The sequence below is a fragment of the Homo sapiens genome, chromosome 16 (genome assembly GCF_000001405.40).
Source record: "Homo sapiens chromosome 16, GRCh38.p14 Primary Assembly".
Classification (NCBI taxonomy): domain Eukaryota; kingdom Metazoa; phylum Chordata; class Mammalia; order Primates; family Hominidae; genus Homo; species Homo sapiens.
Genome location: NC_000016.10, coordinates 60,442,561 through 60,460,580, shown reverse-complemented (window position 1 = coordinate 60,460,580; position 18,020 = coordinate 60,442,561). Strand labels below are relative to the sequence as shown.

Here is an 18,020-nt window from a genome sequence, read left to right as displayed (position 1 = left end):
TGACCTACTCTGAACCAAGTTGAGAGATTTAAATTACAAGGACAGATGCTTAAAGAAGGAAGTAAAAGGTTCAGGTAAGTAAGGATGTTACAGTGGTTACATTACGTAAGGCCAGAAGTATTATGTTTCTAGAGAAAGCTAAGAGGACACTATTCACCGAAGTCATAATATTCTCATGACAGACAATCAGGGTCAAGACAATCAGACAATCTGTGTCAGTGTGTCATAGCGGTTATCTTCTAAGCAGGCCAGCACTGAGTAAAAGACGCTATCCTAAAATTTTACTCATTAATCATAGCAATGAGGATGTGGGGGCCACAAATCAATAGAAGCCTTCTGGAACCCAGGGGTTCAAAATGACTTAAAAACTGACAGTGTGGGAGTAGCAGGTGAGAGGTCTTGATCCACACAGAGTTCTGAAGATGTTCCATAAAATACAGCACTGACAGAAGACAAGTGGACAGACAGCCAATCAGGGTGGTGCTTAATACAAAATCAAAGGAAAGCAAGAATGGATGCAGAGAGAACTGAGGGTAGTTGGCTTAGTTAAAAACTAAACAAACCAAACCTTGCCTAGTTTCTAGATACGAGCCAGTTTTCAGATTTGTAACCTGTGCACGTTAGGGGTCTATCACATCAGTAAAGTTTTTAAAGGTCTAGTGATCGGGGGTATGCAGGAATATACCCTTCAAAGTAAGAGGCAAACTGCCGCATCTTGTATCCTCTACCACAAAGAAAGAACCACAACACCCGGTAAGACTGTTCAGATTCTGCAGTGAACATATTTGACACTTTGCACTCCTGCTTTAGCCTCACAGCTTCAAATTTCCAGCATTGAGTGAGACCAAAAGCAAGGAATGACTCTCCAGGAGGGGCAGACTAGTGTCAAGCATGCCTAGTGCTTGGACCATATGATGCAACAGACCCTGTAGTGGTGGAAATATCAGTGGTGAGAAAAGATGTTATGTGCTGGCATGTAGCTTCCCAGTGAGAAAATCACAGTTCAGGAGTGAGTCCATGTGATTATCAGTGGAGTATTAGACAACCTTTATAAACAGCTCCTAGTGCATTAACGGGTCTTGGTAAAGGTAAAGACAAAATGCTTGACCATTAGTGTCTTGGGAAAGTAAAAGAACTTTTTTTTTTTTTTTTGAGAGTTTCACTCTGTTGCCGAGGCTGGAGTGCAGTCGAGCAATCTCTGCTCACTGCAACCTCTGCCTCCCCAGTTCAAATGCTTGCCTCGGCCTCCCAAGTAGCTGGGATTACAGGCACCCACCACCATGCCCAGCTAATTTTTGTATTTTTAGTAGAGACTTGGTTTTGCCATGTTGGCCAGGCTGGTCTCGAACTCCTAACCTCAGATGATCCACCCGCCTCGGCCTCCCAAAGTGTTAGGATTACAGGCTTGAGCCACCATGCCCGGCCTGATGAGTTGTGTTCTGTCAGACCTAGCAAGCAACACATTTGGGCAGGCCCAGCAGCAATTCACCAGGTGATGAAAATGGTATATCCAGGATCAAGCTTGAGCAAGACCACAGGGCAAGAACAAATTGAGTAAGCCTAAAACCCCACGTCACAAGTCACTATTATACCAGGATCTCTCCCTCAAGACAAACCTATGCCATATGAAAGGGTCCTGTGCAACCACCAAAATAAGGAAATAAATTCAAAACATGCTTTATGGATGGGCCAGCTCAGTATGTGGTATGCAAGCCAAAAATGGATGTCAGATTGAGTAAAGCTATATACTCAGGCATGACCTTGAGAGATGGTGCCAAGGGAAAATCTTTTCAATGGGCAGAAGTTGAAGAGGGCTGGGCACAGTGACTCATTCTTGTAATCCCCACAGTTTGGGAGATTGAGGCAGGTGGATCACTTGAGGCCAGAAGTTCAAGACCAGCCTGGCCAACATGGGGAAACCCAGTCTCCACTAAAAATACAAAAGATTAGCTGGCTATGGTTGTGAATACTTGGAATCCCAGCTACTCAGGTGGCTGGGGCACGAGAATCACTTGACCCTGGGAGGTGGAGGTTGCACTCTAGCCTGAGAGACAGAGTAAGACTGTCTCAAAATAATAATAATAATAATAATAATAATAATAATAATAATAATGATAATAAATTAAAACACACAAATAAATACATAAAATAAATTAAAAATGCCTCCACTCTGGCAAAACAAATGAACAAACAAAAATCCAAACAGAAGTTCAAGAGGTGCCCCTTGATTCTGTAATTTATGTTGAAGGAGAAATGGCCTGAGCTGAGAATATTTAGAGAGTCATGGAAAATGGCAAAAGGGCTGGCCAGCTTGTCAGATGCCTAAAAGGAAAAAAGACTCAAAGCTCTGAGACAAGGAAGACCACGTTAGATGCAGGTATAAAGAAGCAGGCTGGAAGTGTGGTGATTTTTCTTTTAGTTAATGTCCACCAAAACAAAAATCCATCAGGGAAAAGACACTGAACAATCAAGTACACAAAATCACTTGCTTAGTTGCTATTCGCCAAGCTTTGCCATTAATTATCTCAAAACTGCCATTACAGGCACACAAACAGAATAGCTATAGTGACAGAGATGGAGGCTTCTGATGGGTCCAACAGCATGGTTCCTACTCATCCAGGCAGATTTAGCCATATCTGAACATTTAAGTTGCCAGCAAGAATGACCAATGTCAAGCATTACTGTTCAAGGTGCCAACCAGTCACTGCATATCAAGGTGGATCCCTTTCATTATGAGAGCTAGAAGCTCATTCACATAAGAACAGGTACTTATCTGGGTATAGGCTTGCTTTTCTTGTCCACAACAATTACTTATAAAGTAATCCCATCTGAAGTATATATGGAAATGAATCTTTTGAACATGTATATTAAATGACGTAAGTATGATCACAGCTGCATTGTTTATGCAAAATATTGGAAATAATTTTTTTATTATTATACTTTAAGTCTTAGGGTACATGTGCACAACGTGCAGGTTAGTTACATATGTATGCATGTGCCATGTTTGTGTGCTGCACCCATTAACTCGTCATTTAACATTAGGTATATCTCCTAATGCTATCCCTCTCCCCACCCCCTACCCCACAACAGGCCCCGGTGTGTGATGTTTCCCTTCCTGTGTCCATGTGTTCTCATTGTTCAATTCCCACCTATGAGTGAGAACATGCGGTGTTTGGTTTTTTGTCCTTGCGATAGTTTGGGAAACAATCTTAATGCCTATTGATGGGAGAGTAAATGAATGAATAAACTGTAACATAATAAAATAATTGAACATAATAAAACAGTCTTAATAAATAAAGCCTTACCACTAGCATCAATATGGATGAATGACAACAAAAATATTAAGTGAAAAATATTAACATTCATGATAATACACATTTTTTTTTTTTTTTTTTTTTTTGAGACGGAGTCTCACTCTGTCGCCCAGGCTGGAGTGCAGTGGCGCAATCTCGGCTCACTGCAAGCTCCGCCTCCCGGGTTCACGCCATTCTCCTGCCTCAGCCTCCCAAGTAGCTGGGACTACAGGCGCCCGCCACTACGCCCGGCTAATTTTTTGTATTTTTAGTAGAGACGGGGTTTCACCGTTTTAGCCGGGATGGTCTCGATCTCCTGACCTCGTGATCCGCCCGCCTCGGCCTCCCAAAGTGCTGGGATTACAGGCGTGAGCCACCGCGCCCGGCCGATAATACACATTTTTAATAAAATTTAAAATAATAGAATAGATCATATATACAAATAACTGTAAACTAAATATATATAGTTGCACTTAACTATATATACATACACACACATATGTACACATATCTTCTTTAGGAATAAAACTAAAGGCAGAACTAAACCAGGAAGGAGTTGAATCCCTGAATAGACCAATAACAAATTCTGAATTGAGGCAGTAATTAATAGTTTACCAACCAAAAAAAGCCCAGGACCAGACGGATTCACAGCCAAATTCTACCAGAGGTACAAAGAGGAGTTAGTACCATTCCTTCTGAAACTATTCCAAACAACAGAAAGGGAAGGACTCCTCCCTCACTTATTTTATGAAGCCAGCATCATCCCGATACCCTAACTCATTTTATGAGGCCAGAATCATCCTGATACCAAAACCTGACAGAGACACAACAAAAAAAGAAAATTTCAGGCCAGCATCCCTGATGAACATCGATGCGAAAATCCTAAATAAAATACTGGCAAACTGAACCCAGCAGCATATCAAAAAGCTTATTCACCGTAATCAAGTCGGCTTCATCCCTGGGATGCAAGGCTGTTTCAACATATGCAGATAAATAAGCATAATCCATCACATAAACAGAACCATTGACAAAAACTATATGATTATCTCAATAGATACAGAAAAGGCCTTCAATAAAATTCAACACCCCTTCATGCCAAAATCTCTCAATAAACCAAGTATTGATGGAACATATCTCAAAATAATAAGAACTATTTTTGACAGACATAGCCAATATCAGACTGAATGGGCAAAAGCTGGAAGCATTCCCTTTGAAAACTGGCACAAGGCAAGGATGCCCTCTCTCACCACTCCTATTCAACATAGTATTGTAAGTTCTTGCCAGAGCAATCATGCCAGAGAAAGAAATAAAGGGTATTCAAATAGGAAGAGAAGAAGTCAAATTGTCTTTATTTGCAGATGACATGATTTTATATATAGAAAACCCCCATCATCTCAGCCCCCAAACTCCTTAAGCTGATAAGCAACTTCAGCAAAGTCTCAGGATATAAAATCAATGTGCAAAAATCACAAGCATTCCTATACACCAATAATAGACAAACAGAGAGCCAAATCATGAATGAACTCCCATTCACAATTGCTACAAAGAGAATAAAATACCTAGGAATACGACTTACAAGGGACGTGAAGGACCTCTTCAAGGAGAACTACAAACCACTGCTCAAGGAAATAAGAGACGACACAAAAAAATGGAAAAACATTCCATGCTCATGGATAGGAAGAATCAATATTGTGAAAATGGCCATACTGCCCAAAGTAATTTATAGATTCAATGCTGTTCCCATCAAGCTACCATTGACATTCTTCACAGAATTAGAAAAAACTACTTTAAATTTCATATGAAACCAAAAAAGAGCCCATATAGCAAAGACAATCCTAAGCAAAAGAACGAAGCTGGAGGCATCATGCTACCTGACTTCAAATTACAGTACAAGGCTACAGTAACCAAAACAGAATGGTACCAGTACCAAAACAAAGATATAGACCAATGGAACAGAACAGAGGCCTCAGAAATGACAGCACACCTCTACAACCATCTGATCTTCAACAAACCTGACAGAAACAAACAATGGGGAAACGATTCCCTGTTTAACAAATGGTGTTGGGAAAACAGAAATTGGACCCCTTCCTTATACCGTATATGAAAATTAACTCAGGATGGATTAACGACTTAAAAGTGAAACCTAGAACCATAAAAATCCTAGAAGAAAACCTAGGCAATACCATTCAGGACATAGGCATGGGCAAAGACTTCATGACTAAAACACAAAAAGCAACTGCAACAAAGCCAAAATTGACAAATGGGATTTAATTAAACTAAAGATCTTCTGCACAGCAAAAGAAACTATCATCAGAGTGAACAGTCAACTTACAGAACGGGAGAAAATTTTTGCTATCTATCCATCTGACAAAGGTCTAATATGCAGAATCTACAAGGAACTTAAATTTACAAGAAAAAAACAATCCCATCAAAAAGTGGACAAAGGACATGAACAGACAGTTCTCAAGAGAAGACATTTATGTGGCCAACATACATATGAAGAAAAGCTCATGATCACTGGTCATTGGAGAAATGCAAATCAAAACCACAATGAGATACCATCTCATGCCAATTAAAATGGTGATCATTAAGAAGTCAGAAAACAACAGATGCTAGTGAGGATGTGGAGAAATAGAAACGCCTTTATACTGTTGGTAGGAGTATAAATTAGTTCAACCATTGCAGAAGACAGTATGGCAATTCTTCAAGGATCTACAATCAGAAATACCATTTGACCCAGTAATCCCATTACTGGGTATATGCATAAAGGATTATAAATCATTCTAGTATAAAGACACATGCACACATATGTTTATTGCAGCACTAAAAAATATATAAATGAAGGTAATGCCTAAATTGATCATATCATCATAAGGTATTTAACGACTTGTGTTATCACAGATTATAATGAATGCAGTTCCATGAAGTAATGACCATTGTGTGTGTGTGTGCGTGTGTGTGTGCGCGTGTGTGTGTGCGTGTGTATTTATGCATGTAAAGAACAACCAAGGTCAATGTTGAACAGAAAAGGATTTTATTAGAATATATAAAGGCATTCAGTGTTTATATTTTTTATTGTTCTCAAATATCTACAGATTATTTTACAAGCCTCTTTACAAAAAGCAGAGACTTATTCTCTGCCCCTTGCCTGTGTGCCAGACTCTGTGTCTTGCTTCTAGTGGATAAAATGCAGTAGGAGTAATGACATATGACTCACAAAAAATAATTTAGGAATCATAACAACTTCCTCTTTTGGATCACTTGATGTATGAGAAGTCAGCTTCCATGCCATCAGACAAAGTTGCCATGTTTATCAAATAAAAATATAAGAAGCAGTTAAATGTGAATTTCCGATAAATAATGCATGATTTTTTTTTGGTATAAATATATTCCTTGCAATATTGGGGATATACCAAATTTTATTTATGCTTTTTGCCTGAAATCGTAAAGTTCAAGTAACTGCTTACCTAAAATTCAAGTTTAACTAGACATTTTTAATTTTATCTTAGGACACTTATAACAATCATCTGGAGAGGTGTGCATGGCACGGACCTGAGCTTTCCTGCCAAAGCCATCAGACTGCGCCATCTTGGAACTTGATTCTCTAGCCCCAGTCAAGCTTCCAGATGAGTGCAGCCCTGGCTGATGTCTTCATATCGATCTCCTGAGACACTGTGGGCTAGATCACTCAGATAAGCCACTCTTGAAACACTGTACCACAGAAACTGTGAAATAATCAATGTGTGCTGTTTTATAGTTTTAGTTTTGAGGCAGTTTGCTCCCCAGTAACAGATAAGTAATAGAGCAAATATCTCATCAATCATGCTTCTTAGAATCAGAATCCATAGAAGAGGAAACTGACATAAATCACTTGTTTTTAAATTATCTCACAATATTTTTTTTATTTGTTTGTTTTGTTTGTTTGCCTCAGCCCCAATATCACTAGGCCTTAAATGATGCTTAATTCACTAAATTGTAACTTTTAGATTTATCAGCTTTCAGGGTTCATTAAAACTGTTCTGTTCTGGAACATATCAGAGTCCTTTTCCTCTTGACAGAGATTTTATTTTCCACATTCTGATTGAGATCCCGAGAGAATAGGAAGAAAATGTGTATATTCTGATGGAAAGTAAAAGCTGTCATTTCATAAATTATACTTCTGATTCTGAAAGAAAGAAATATATCTTCCTTTTCCTGCTCTCTTAAAGGAAATTGTGTGTCCATTGATTGTCTCTGCTTCATCACATGCAAGTTCTATGACCAGTTATTTTTCTCTTTAATTACTCAGCAGTTTTTCTCTATAAGAACATTTCATATTCCATAATTTACCTTTGAATCCTGTGTAGCTACTTGTCCCTAGAGAGTCATTCACCTTTTTCTCATTTCTAAGCTTAACATCTGTGTAAATATCTGCTTCTCTGAAAATCCAACACACTTATTTTTTGCTGAGTACTGTTTATTTTCTTCCCCCTCAAGATATTTCAGAAATGCATTATGATTGTGGCTCAAGTGAGAGACTGGAAGCAAGATACTATGTGTCCTCATGTTTAGGAGTCTCTGATTCCAATTTGGAAACATCATTTCCTCCCCTTTAAGCAGTTTGCTGGCTTAAACTGTCTCAAAAGATTTCTTTGCCATAATAATTCTTCATTAATAAGATGGTAGCATAATGGAAAAGTATAACATGCAGGGCTACTTAAAGGAAAATAGAACAGCAAATGTGATTTCTCATATTCACCATGCAGAATTCAAAGTGAAACACATGGGTTGAAATGTTTGCATCCACTTTCCTCCAACAGACTATAGAGCTTTTAATTACCTGTAGCACATTTCCTCCTGTAGTATTTTATTCTTAATTCAGTCATTTCTTGGTGAAGGAGGAAGTGCATTGCCCTACTAGGCAGGAGACCTGGCATCGTCTCTGGGCTCTGGCACATTTATCTATCTCACTGGGACTCAATTCAAATATTATCTCAACTCTGGCAAAGAAGTTGACCTTTATGTTCAAATTTGGTTTTCCTTTTCATGATCCAAATTTTATTTTCTTTTGCTATGGTCTTGCCTTATAATTTCTAGTTCAACATTCTATTATTTAACGGATGTCTTCTTATTCTAAGTCAACTGAAGTCCTTTATGAATTAAACATTTAAAATACTAATAAATGGAAGTGGCTGCTGGCCTTATAATTTGTTCAAGGGTCTAACACGTATTAGAATCTTGATAATTTACATAAATAATAGTACAAAATTTTAGTTTGCACCAAACTATTTAAAGTTGAAATATTTTGCCATTTCACAAATGAGAAGATGAAACAGTGGCTTTTGCAGGTTGACAGCTCTAGTGATTCGTTTGAATCTAAGTCTACCTAATGGCAGAGTCCATGTTATTCTGCTTTGTGCTGAAGCTAACGAAATGCCTAAATCTTGTTTGTATCTTTAATCTCTCTGATTCATGGTGCGCTGGGAGTGGTGGATTAGAAGCTTTCTAATTTTGCTTTTCTCTCTAATTATAAAGGCAAGCGCCCTTGGTTTAATGTTGTGCTCCACTGATTCATGAAGTTCTGCTAATGCAATATTTGTCATCAATATTGCAATAAATTCATGGCATCTTTTTCCTTTGCCATGTAATATGAATGGATGAATTGCACTCAGAATAACTAGTGGTTAGTAAATCCAATTCCTTGTGTTTCCCACACAGTGGCTCAGAGCTCTTTCTTCTTTCTGGCTGCTGGCATCTTATCAGTCAAGTTTGTATCTATTTTCTCAGCTTTCTTCCACTGCTGTTGACTTATTTCATCTAATCCTATTACTGCAGGCTGTTGATGGGGTCTCCTGCCTTGAGTCTTTTTTCTCCTCTTACCTACTAGTATGAATCTTCCAACATACTATACCTGATATTAGTCATTACAATTACGTCTGGTAAAAATACTTCAGTGACTCTGTTGCCCTCAGAGAAAGAAAATAAAACTAACCAACACATATCTTCTCCATCATCTGGTACGTGTCTATTTCTGCAGCCTCACCACCCACGAGTCCCCCTACATAGTCTCATTGGTCTGGCTAATCTGCTGTATTGTCAATGCAGAATTGAATGCCTGGAATTCTCATCCATTTTCTTCATCAACCCCTGCTCAATCTTCAAGATGCAAATCAAGCATCAGCTTTCCTTGAAGGCTTACTTATTCTCCTCACACCTCCTTGTCCCAACTGCATTAGGTGTTACTTTATGTCACTGCTATGAAGGTTTAATTTTTAATCACCTAATCATGAAATACAGTCATTTAGTAGTTCTTTTTTCCCTTAAGACTGTGAGCTACATGAAGGCAAATGTGATAATTTCATTAATGCTTTTTAGACGTATATAGAACTTACATGTTAGGCAGTGTTTTCTAAGCATTTTACAAATATTAACTTGATTACTTCTCATTACAGCCTTTTGATGTAGGTACTGTTGTTATAGACATTATACTGATAAAATAAGGCAAGAGGAATTAGGTGGCTTTCTTAAGGCCTCTTAGCCTTAAGAAAGTGGTGATCTTAAACAGTCTGAATCCCGACTGTTCTTTTAACACAATCCTATGCTGCATATCTATATTCTCAGTGCCTAATTTTGTGCTTGGCAAAAACTAGATGTTCTGTAAGTCTTTTTTTAGTGAATAAATAAACTCTACTTCTGCCTAGTCAAAAATGCAACATTAAATACTAACATGGACCATCAAAATGTTAACTAAAATCACCCTTCACTTCAGCATGGTTTTACTTTGAATGCATTTCAAATTCTGGAAAATAACACTATGTCATTCAAAAAGAAAAGAAGAGGAAAGAAAAAAAGGCAATATTATCTTTAAACATAATAAAAACAGCTCAACCTTGGAGATACATACCAGTGAGTGAAACACTGAATGTCAAAAAATCCATTTCAAGCTCTTTAGGGTGTTAAGATAGCAGATAGATTTCCCCCTTATTTTAGCTTCCTGTTTTGTGAAAAGCATTTACTGATACTGGTGGTTGCAACGATATCTCTTTGCATTTTCTCTGTGGGGAAGATCACATCTGGGGTAAGGTGGCTCAGGTGGAGAAACACAGCAGATGTCACGAATCAAAGTGATCAGCTCAATACTGTTCTTGCCTCAATCAGCATGGATGGTCAAAGGAAGAAAAATGAACCAGGATGCTTCCAAACATCACATCCATCCAAATCCACACCTATATAGCATTTCTCATGGCCTGCAATAAAAAGTGTTTGAGATTTCCCCAGAAACCTACTGTAGAATAAATCAGAATAAATGCAAAAACAAAATGCTTCAAAACACTGAATACTTATTTATTTTTTAAAAAGGTATCATCCTGCTGGTGTCCTGGCATCTAGAAAGAAAAATTTTTAGTGATGAACAATTAGGAATGTTTGTCCTTCTCTTTACTTTAAAAAATGACTAAAATGGCATATTTAATATTTTGGGGGTACCAGGTTGGAAATTTCTGAGTCATTTGCATAAATGGGATAACAAATTGTGCTGGATTTATGCTAACAATGATAGCTACAATTTACCTGGAAGTTACTGTATAGTAATTTAATTCTAATAACCACTCTGTATGATAGTTATCACTAATATATCTATAATATAGGTAAGGAAGTCGAGGCTCTCGGAAGCTGATTACAAAATCCTAGTAGAGTTAGGATATAAATGCAGTTTTGTGTCATTATAAAATACATCTGAAATGATTATTTCTCTTGCTTTGAAGAGTGTAGTGTGTGTGTGTGTGTGTGTATGTGTATGTGTATGTGTATGTGTATGTGTATGTGTATGTGTTGGAGAAAATGAGTACATATGGAAGCTCCACTGTGTTTACTCAAGGAATCATATTCCTTAAGGAAAATGGGAATGAAAATCTTCCAGGAATCTGTTTGGAGTCAAGTGGATCCTTGGTTTCTTGGACAAATAATCATTTTAGGGTCAGAAAAAAAGGGAAACCATGAATGTAGATTATACGCCATCTGCCACAGACCACACAAGACTTGTCCTTAAGAAATGTAATAGTGGAGGTGCTGGTGATTGTTTTAGGGTTCATAATAGTGTGAGTAACAGCACTGGTATTTCTTAAGACCATTTATATGCCAGTAGGTGTAGCAAGCACTTTACATTGATTATCTCATTTACTCATCACAGCAATCCAAACCACAGGCACCATTATCATCCCTGATTTAAGGAGGAGGAATCTATGGCTTGAAGCCTTGACAAAGGTAACATTCTAAAGAGCCTCCCTAGATTTCTGCCCCTGCCCTCCAGCATGAATGTGGACTCCAAGTATGATGGGATAGTCACTCCCATGACTGTAAGACACAGTTGCATTTAAGAAAGGGAGATTGTCTGAGTGGATATGACTTAATGAGGTGAACCCTTAAAAACAACCAGGCTCTTCCTGAAGAAAGCATCTGAAGAGGGAGAAGGAGTCAACATGAGTTAGATTCTGTGTTGCTGGCTTTGAAGATAGAGTTGGCCACATAGATAGGAATGTCCAGGAGCTCCAAGAAGCCCCTGCCTGACAGCCAGTAAGGAAACAGGGACCTCAGTACTGAAGCAGCAAAGAACTGAATTCTGCCATCATCAGGTGAACTTGGAAGACCCTTGACCTCAAGATGAGAGCCAGGCTGAGATTTTGGTCTCAGCTTTGTGAAACCCTGAACTAAAAGTCCTGTCATACTGTGCTCAGACTTCTGACTGATACAACTTTGAGTTAATAAAGAGGTGTTATTTTTACCCACTGTTTGTGTTTAATGTTTTAATGGAACATTAAAAACCATATATCAAAGGTCCCCAGAGCAATTAAGTTTCAGAGAGGAAATATAAATGGTAACATGACATTGGAGCCCAATTCTTATCCATCTAGCAACATGTGTCTTAAAATGAGTCTAGAAGAATTGACTTAATAACACATCTAAAGACATCTTAAATGTAAAGAGACATTTTATTATAAATGTGATGAACTTTGGACTCATAGTGCCAGGTGAACTTTTCAGGTGAAAGCTAGTCAGAAACTCAGCATGAAAGAGGGGCTCTAGGCAAGTAAGTGCTCCAGAGATCATCTTATGAGTGGGTGGGTTTTGGACACGCTTGTCATAGCTTAAACAGACAACCTAATGCCTTTGGCAAAAACACTGGCCACCACTACAGGGGACAGCTGTAGTGCTCATGAGCAGAGAATGTCAATTAGGTGCCGCAGGTGCTTCAGCAGCCTCGAGCTTTGTAATAACCCCTTTTAAACAGCCAATTGGATCCTCATTTTGGGCAGCAGCTGTATACTTCCTGCCCTTCTTTCAGCTTTTGGAATATGCCATGTGATTCTATGATGCAAGTCTCTGGATATGCCTCTTATTCTGCCAGAAATGTTTTGCCACTGGCTTTCTTAGGTCATTTTTATTCTTACCTTCCACATACCAACTTCACTGTCACCTACTCAAGAAGCTTTCTTCTATCACTTCATTGAATCTTTCTTCTCTGCTTTTTCTCAAGCATCGTAGTCTTTGCCCTCCATGAAACTTATACCTTATAAATTTTCATTGGTTGGTTTACTTTTTTATGATGTCTCCATGATCACTAATATTTCTTTTAATAAAATTTATAACTAACATGTTATGTGAATTTATCGGATTATAATAAATATCTTGCAAAGAATCCAGAGACTTGGGGAGCATGCTATCCACATGCCAGAGATGTTTAAGTCAGATGAGTGGGGTTAGAGACCACCCAGTGTTACACAATGGCTAGCAGTGGTTTTATCCAGGGTTAAAACCCAGGCAGTCTGAATTCTTGTTACTCAGCAATACAATCTTTAGGCTAAAAGATAAGCAGTGCTCACTTAGCAGATAGCACCGTGCCTGATACACAGAAGACACTCAATAAAGATTTGTGAGGGGGAAAAAAAAGAAAAGAATGAATGCATCGCAATGGGGCAGACTTCAGGTGACTTCTGTTAGCTTTTTGGCAGCCTAGAACGCAATTATTGGATATGATAAGAGATATCCGAAGGATAAAAAGAGGACGAGAAGGCAGAGTTGGAGGAGATGATCATAGTGGCTATGCAGTAGCTGAAAGCAGACCCCAATCTGAAGATAAAGTGGAATTACTTAATGGTGCATCTTTACTCCAGACCTTCAGAATCAGCATTTTGTGGGGTTGGGAGGAGTGGGAGACATGAAACATTGCGTTTTTATAAAGTTACCAGGGGATTCTGGTGATGTGCCATCTTCTGTTTAGTGTGTGAACATGATTAAGATAATTCTGGTGAGTACTGGAAAGAGAGTAAAATCCCAGAGATTTCACAGTTGGAGACTACACTAAAAAACAAACAAATACCAAACTATTTTTCACTGAAACTATCACTTCAATTTTTACCATCAGGCCAAACAAATAATGGTATAGAGAGAATTACATTAATTCATTTTTTTTTTTTTTTACTTTTTGACAGTCTTTAATAAGCATCCCTTAAAAACCTGAAACTATGTGAAATTAATATATCTTCATAAATACAACTATTCTTTCAGATATAATAGTATTACCATTTGACACAAGAAGAAACTCAGGTACAGACAGAGATTATGCAATTTCTACATTACCAGACAATTGATCAGTGACAGAGCTAAGGTTAAATTTAGGGAGGTTGATGTTTGATCAAGCACTGGTCCACCTAATGGAAATCTATTCATCTTTTAAAAATGATGCATCACAGTTCTCGCAGGGTGAAAAATACATGCTAGGCAGCTAAAGTGCACACACACCCATATGTACAAACAGATTAAAAAGACAAATGTAGGGAACCATAATGGGTTTAATGTTTGGACTCTCTAGCGTGAAGTTGTAAATGAATGGTGAGAAATAAGAATGGAGAATCGGAAAATAGATATCCTAAGAATGCCAACTCACAGATTACAAAACTTGTCTTTATGATGGAGAGCTAACAAAGTGTCTTTCACATCCGTTTCAGTGCCAACATCATAGCACTTATGCTAACTATATCTTTCCATGTTCAACTCTCATAATAGCCTAGAATAAGTCATATGGGAATTTAAGACAAGTGAATTTTTTTTTTTTTTTTTTTTTTGAGATGGAGTCTCACTCTGTCACCCAGGCTGGAGTGCAGTGGCGCGATCTCCGCTCACTGCAACCTCTGCCTCCTGGGTTCAAGCGATTCTCCTACCTCAGCCTCCTGAGTAGCTGAGACTACAGGCGCATACCACCACCCCCGGCTAATTTTTGTATTTTTAGTAGAGATGGGGTTAAGTGAAATATTTTTGAGTTCTCATATAAAATAAAGATTCTCTAGTACGTAGATTAAATATTTGGTTTTCTTATATTTTACTGAAAGGTTAAAATAGCTGCAAGGTTGAACTTTTGACATAGAAGAAAAAACAAATTCAAACAAATATAATTCTATTAGGGAAGAAGGTGTGTGAATCTAGGTTTTTTTGTTTGTTTGTTTGTTTTGCTTAAAATATAAATTAGATTCACTAAAGATGATTCTTTTCTAATATATTTTAGGTAAAACCATCTCTGTTCCTGCCAGTGCCAAAATAAACATACAGTACTAAGTCTTTTTCAAAGTGTAATCTACTGGAATATTCTCATAATGGCATAATTTTAACAACAGAAGTTTTTGCTCTCTATTTAATCTGGGAAGCTTTGCAACTTAAATCTGATTTTCACACAAATATATTTTATTTTCTTTTTTCTTTTTTTTATTATACTTTAAGTTTTAGGGTACATGTGCACAAATACATTTTAAATATCCCTCCCTGAAACCCATCTGGATGATAAAAGTATGGAAGCTTATGCAAATGTGTAATACACGTGGAATTTTACATGAGCATTTATGTTACTAAACCTGAAATTAAATCATTCATTAGAATGACTACTGCCATTAAGCCCTTCTTATTGTTCTTAAACTCTATGTTTAACAGAAAAAAAATAGCAAAGCCAAGTATAGGTAAACACACTATTATTATTATTATTAATTATTATTATTATTATTATTGAAATGGACTCTCACTCTGTCCCCGAGGCTGGAGTGCAGTGGCACGATCTCGATTCACTGCAGCCTCCGCCTCCTAGGCTCAAGCAATTCTCCTGCTTCAGCCTCCCAAGAAGCTGGGACTATAGGTATGCAATACTATGCTTGACTAATTTTTGTATTTTTAGTAGAGATGGGGTTTCACTGGTCTTGAACTCCTGACCTCGGGTGATTCGCCTGTCTTGGCCTCCCAAAGTGCTGGGATTACAGGCATGAGCCACTGCGCTTGGCCATTTTTAATGTTAAACATCAAATTATATACTACAAAGCAAAGTGAATTAAGTAGAGCAATATTTAGATATGAAACATTTTGATATACTATGTGCATACTTTTCTTTTTCCAATGCAAAATAACCTTGAGTATCATTTAATTATGAGATTATCATAAAACACCCAGAAGAACAGCAGAGAAAAATGAGTATTTCTGATGAAGCATTTCTACAGAAGGTACAACAGAAATTTCAAGAGAAAAAGGTTGAAATTGACCAAAAAGTTTTATTATATACAACTTATGGCGTAAAATATATGGTAAAAATGGTTTCATCACCAATGTCAGCTTCAATATTGTGCTGAAGTTTATTAACTTGCTTTGTAATTATTATTTCTGTCAATTATCAGGAATGACATCTTGTAGAGTACCCTCATTTCTTAGCAAGACAGATAACCCCTTTTCAAGGTTATTACTTTTAACTCTTTCTGACAACTTAATCTGTGACACTAAAGTGCTGAGATTTAGAGATGGAAGTTAAAAACAAACTTTACAGAACACGTACTATAGTAGAAGCTCACATGCAAAAAAAATGCACTGCAATGAAACATGTAATTATGGAAGTATTATCAAGTAAAAGAATATATAGTAGAGAAGAGGGTAATATCTTCTGGAACTTTAAGACCAGCATCACTGAATAAAAGTCCACTGGAAAGGTTTACAGAATAAATTAGAGTTTGTTTCATACCCAAAAAGCAACGAAATAGAAAAACAACCATACACAAATGTCTGGAAAGGTTATCTTTATTTACTTCATTAAAGCAAAGGAGAGGAAGGGATAGTTTTAGAGTTTACCTTGGCAACTGGATCCTAGCACTCAAATATAATCAAACTGTTTTGTACATTTTTGAGGGGGTCTTGCTTTTTTGTTTCATTTTTAGTTTTGTTTGCTGTCTTTGTTTTTTATTAGAGAAAACTGCCTTTCTACACATAAAGGGCAATTTGACTTGAGCATCCAGGCTTCTGTGCCCAAGGAAGAAAGGACTTTTCCAGCATAATTATTAATAGTACTATCTCTCATTCTCAAAAGTATTCTAGTTTGAATGATAAGTTTTATAGTCAACCTAGCAAAAGATGACATCTTGTAAATGTGGATTGGAAGCCATGCATGTCACTATGGAACCATTTACCCACGTTGATCTAAAAATCTGTACATGGAAAATATGAATAAATATGAGACAAATCTAATCATTATTCTTTTCAAATTTTAGTGATAAAACTGAACAGTTTTTAACAATGAGCTAGTCCACCATAAGAAATATTTAAAGAACATTTTCCAAAGGATCCTCTGCTTCCTTAATAAGTTAGCATTTTGTATTAGGGTCAGATTGTGCTAAGTTATGATATCAAAATAAGCATATTAAATGGCTACAATTTCTCTAACATCTGAAGCTGTGATAAACTATTAAACAGTTTGATATTTCAGATATTTAATTCACCAAATAACATATTTCAGATATTTAATTCACCAAATAACATAACATATGTGTATTTTCTTCAAAATTTCCTCTGGAAAATAACAAAATGGTGAATGATCTATGCTTAGTGAAATGTAAAAGTAGATAAGCTCTTTTGCTTTTACTATTGTGAAAGGTAAGTAAAAAAAAGAGGGGGGCTTATGAATAAGGATGTATCTGAGAACTGTGTTAATAAGCTCTCCTATCTTATTTTTAATCAATGAATCATGTAGAAAGCTTTGTTTAGACCTTGGCTAATCGATAAGCTATTTTAGTAAAACAAGGAACATAGACTTGGGGTCATTGAATCCACTTTAAAATTTAACATATTGGGTAAAGAAAAATCTGCAAAGACTTTAGGATTTTTCACTGAAGCTTTCTAGATGAGTATGTTGTGATTTAAAAGGGTATACACCTTTAGCAGACTTTAGTATGTTGTGTTTCCATTCATCCAAATTTTATATTTGACCTCTGTCTGATTGACTTTAAAATTCTCTTCTGCATTTACTTATCAAAAATGGGTTGGGTATGCCTAGAAGAATCTTAGTAGCCATAGACAAGACCAAACAAAGATTGTTTTTTATTTTTCTGAGCTTCAGTCACCAATTATAAAACTCAGGAATTATCTTAGTGTTCTCAAGTGTTCCTGTCTTTCTTAATACATTTTTAGTGAAAAACATAAGATTCTAGTAAAAATATAGCAGTATATTGCATGTCATTTTATTCCTAAAAAGAACGTAATCCCATTCAACATTTTGTGATTCAGAACAGCTCATATGCACATATTTCATCTATGCAATTGCTAATATATTTAACTTATAAATATAAAGAAGAAATAATTATTCAGTGTATGCCATGGCCTTGATGATATATGAGATAAACACTATTTATAGAATCACAAATTTCAGAGTTGGATGTAATTTTAGATATTGTCATT

The 18,020-nt window shown here is 36.9% G+C and overlaps 1 long non-coding RNA gene across 6 annotated transcripts in view, besides 1 other annotated feature; it reads right to left on the bottom strand.

Annotated features, from left to right (window-relative positions):
• The window catches only part of LOC101927605 (uncharacterized), a 187,474-nt gene that overhangs the window by 86,675 nt on the left and 82,779 nt on the right, over positions 1 to 18,020 (bottom strand). The window lies entirely within an intron of this gene.
• Positions 919 to 1,418: an enhancer, noted in NCBI's record as "NANOG-H3K4me1 hESC enhancer chr16:60493067-60493566 (GRCh37/hg19 assembly coordinates)". NCBI's record gives its function as "activates a minimal SCP1, AML or CMV promoter by ChIP-STARR-seq in primed H9 embryonic stem cells {active_cell/tissue: H9 hESC(primed)}" and the evidence as "EXISTENCE:reporter gene assay evidence [ECO:0000049][PMID:30033119]".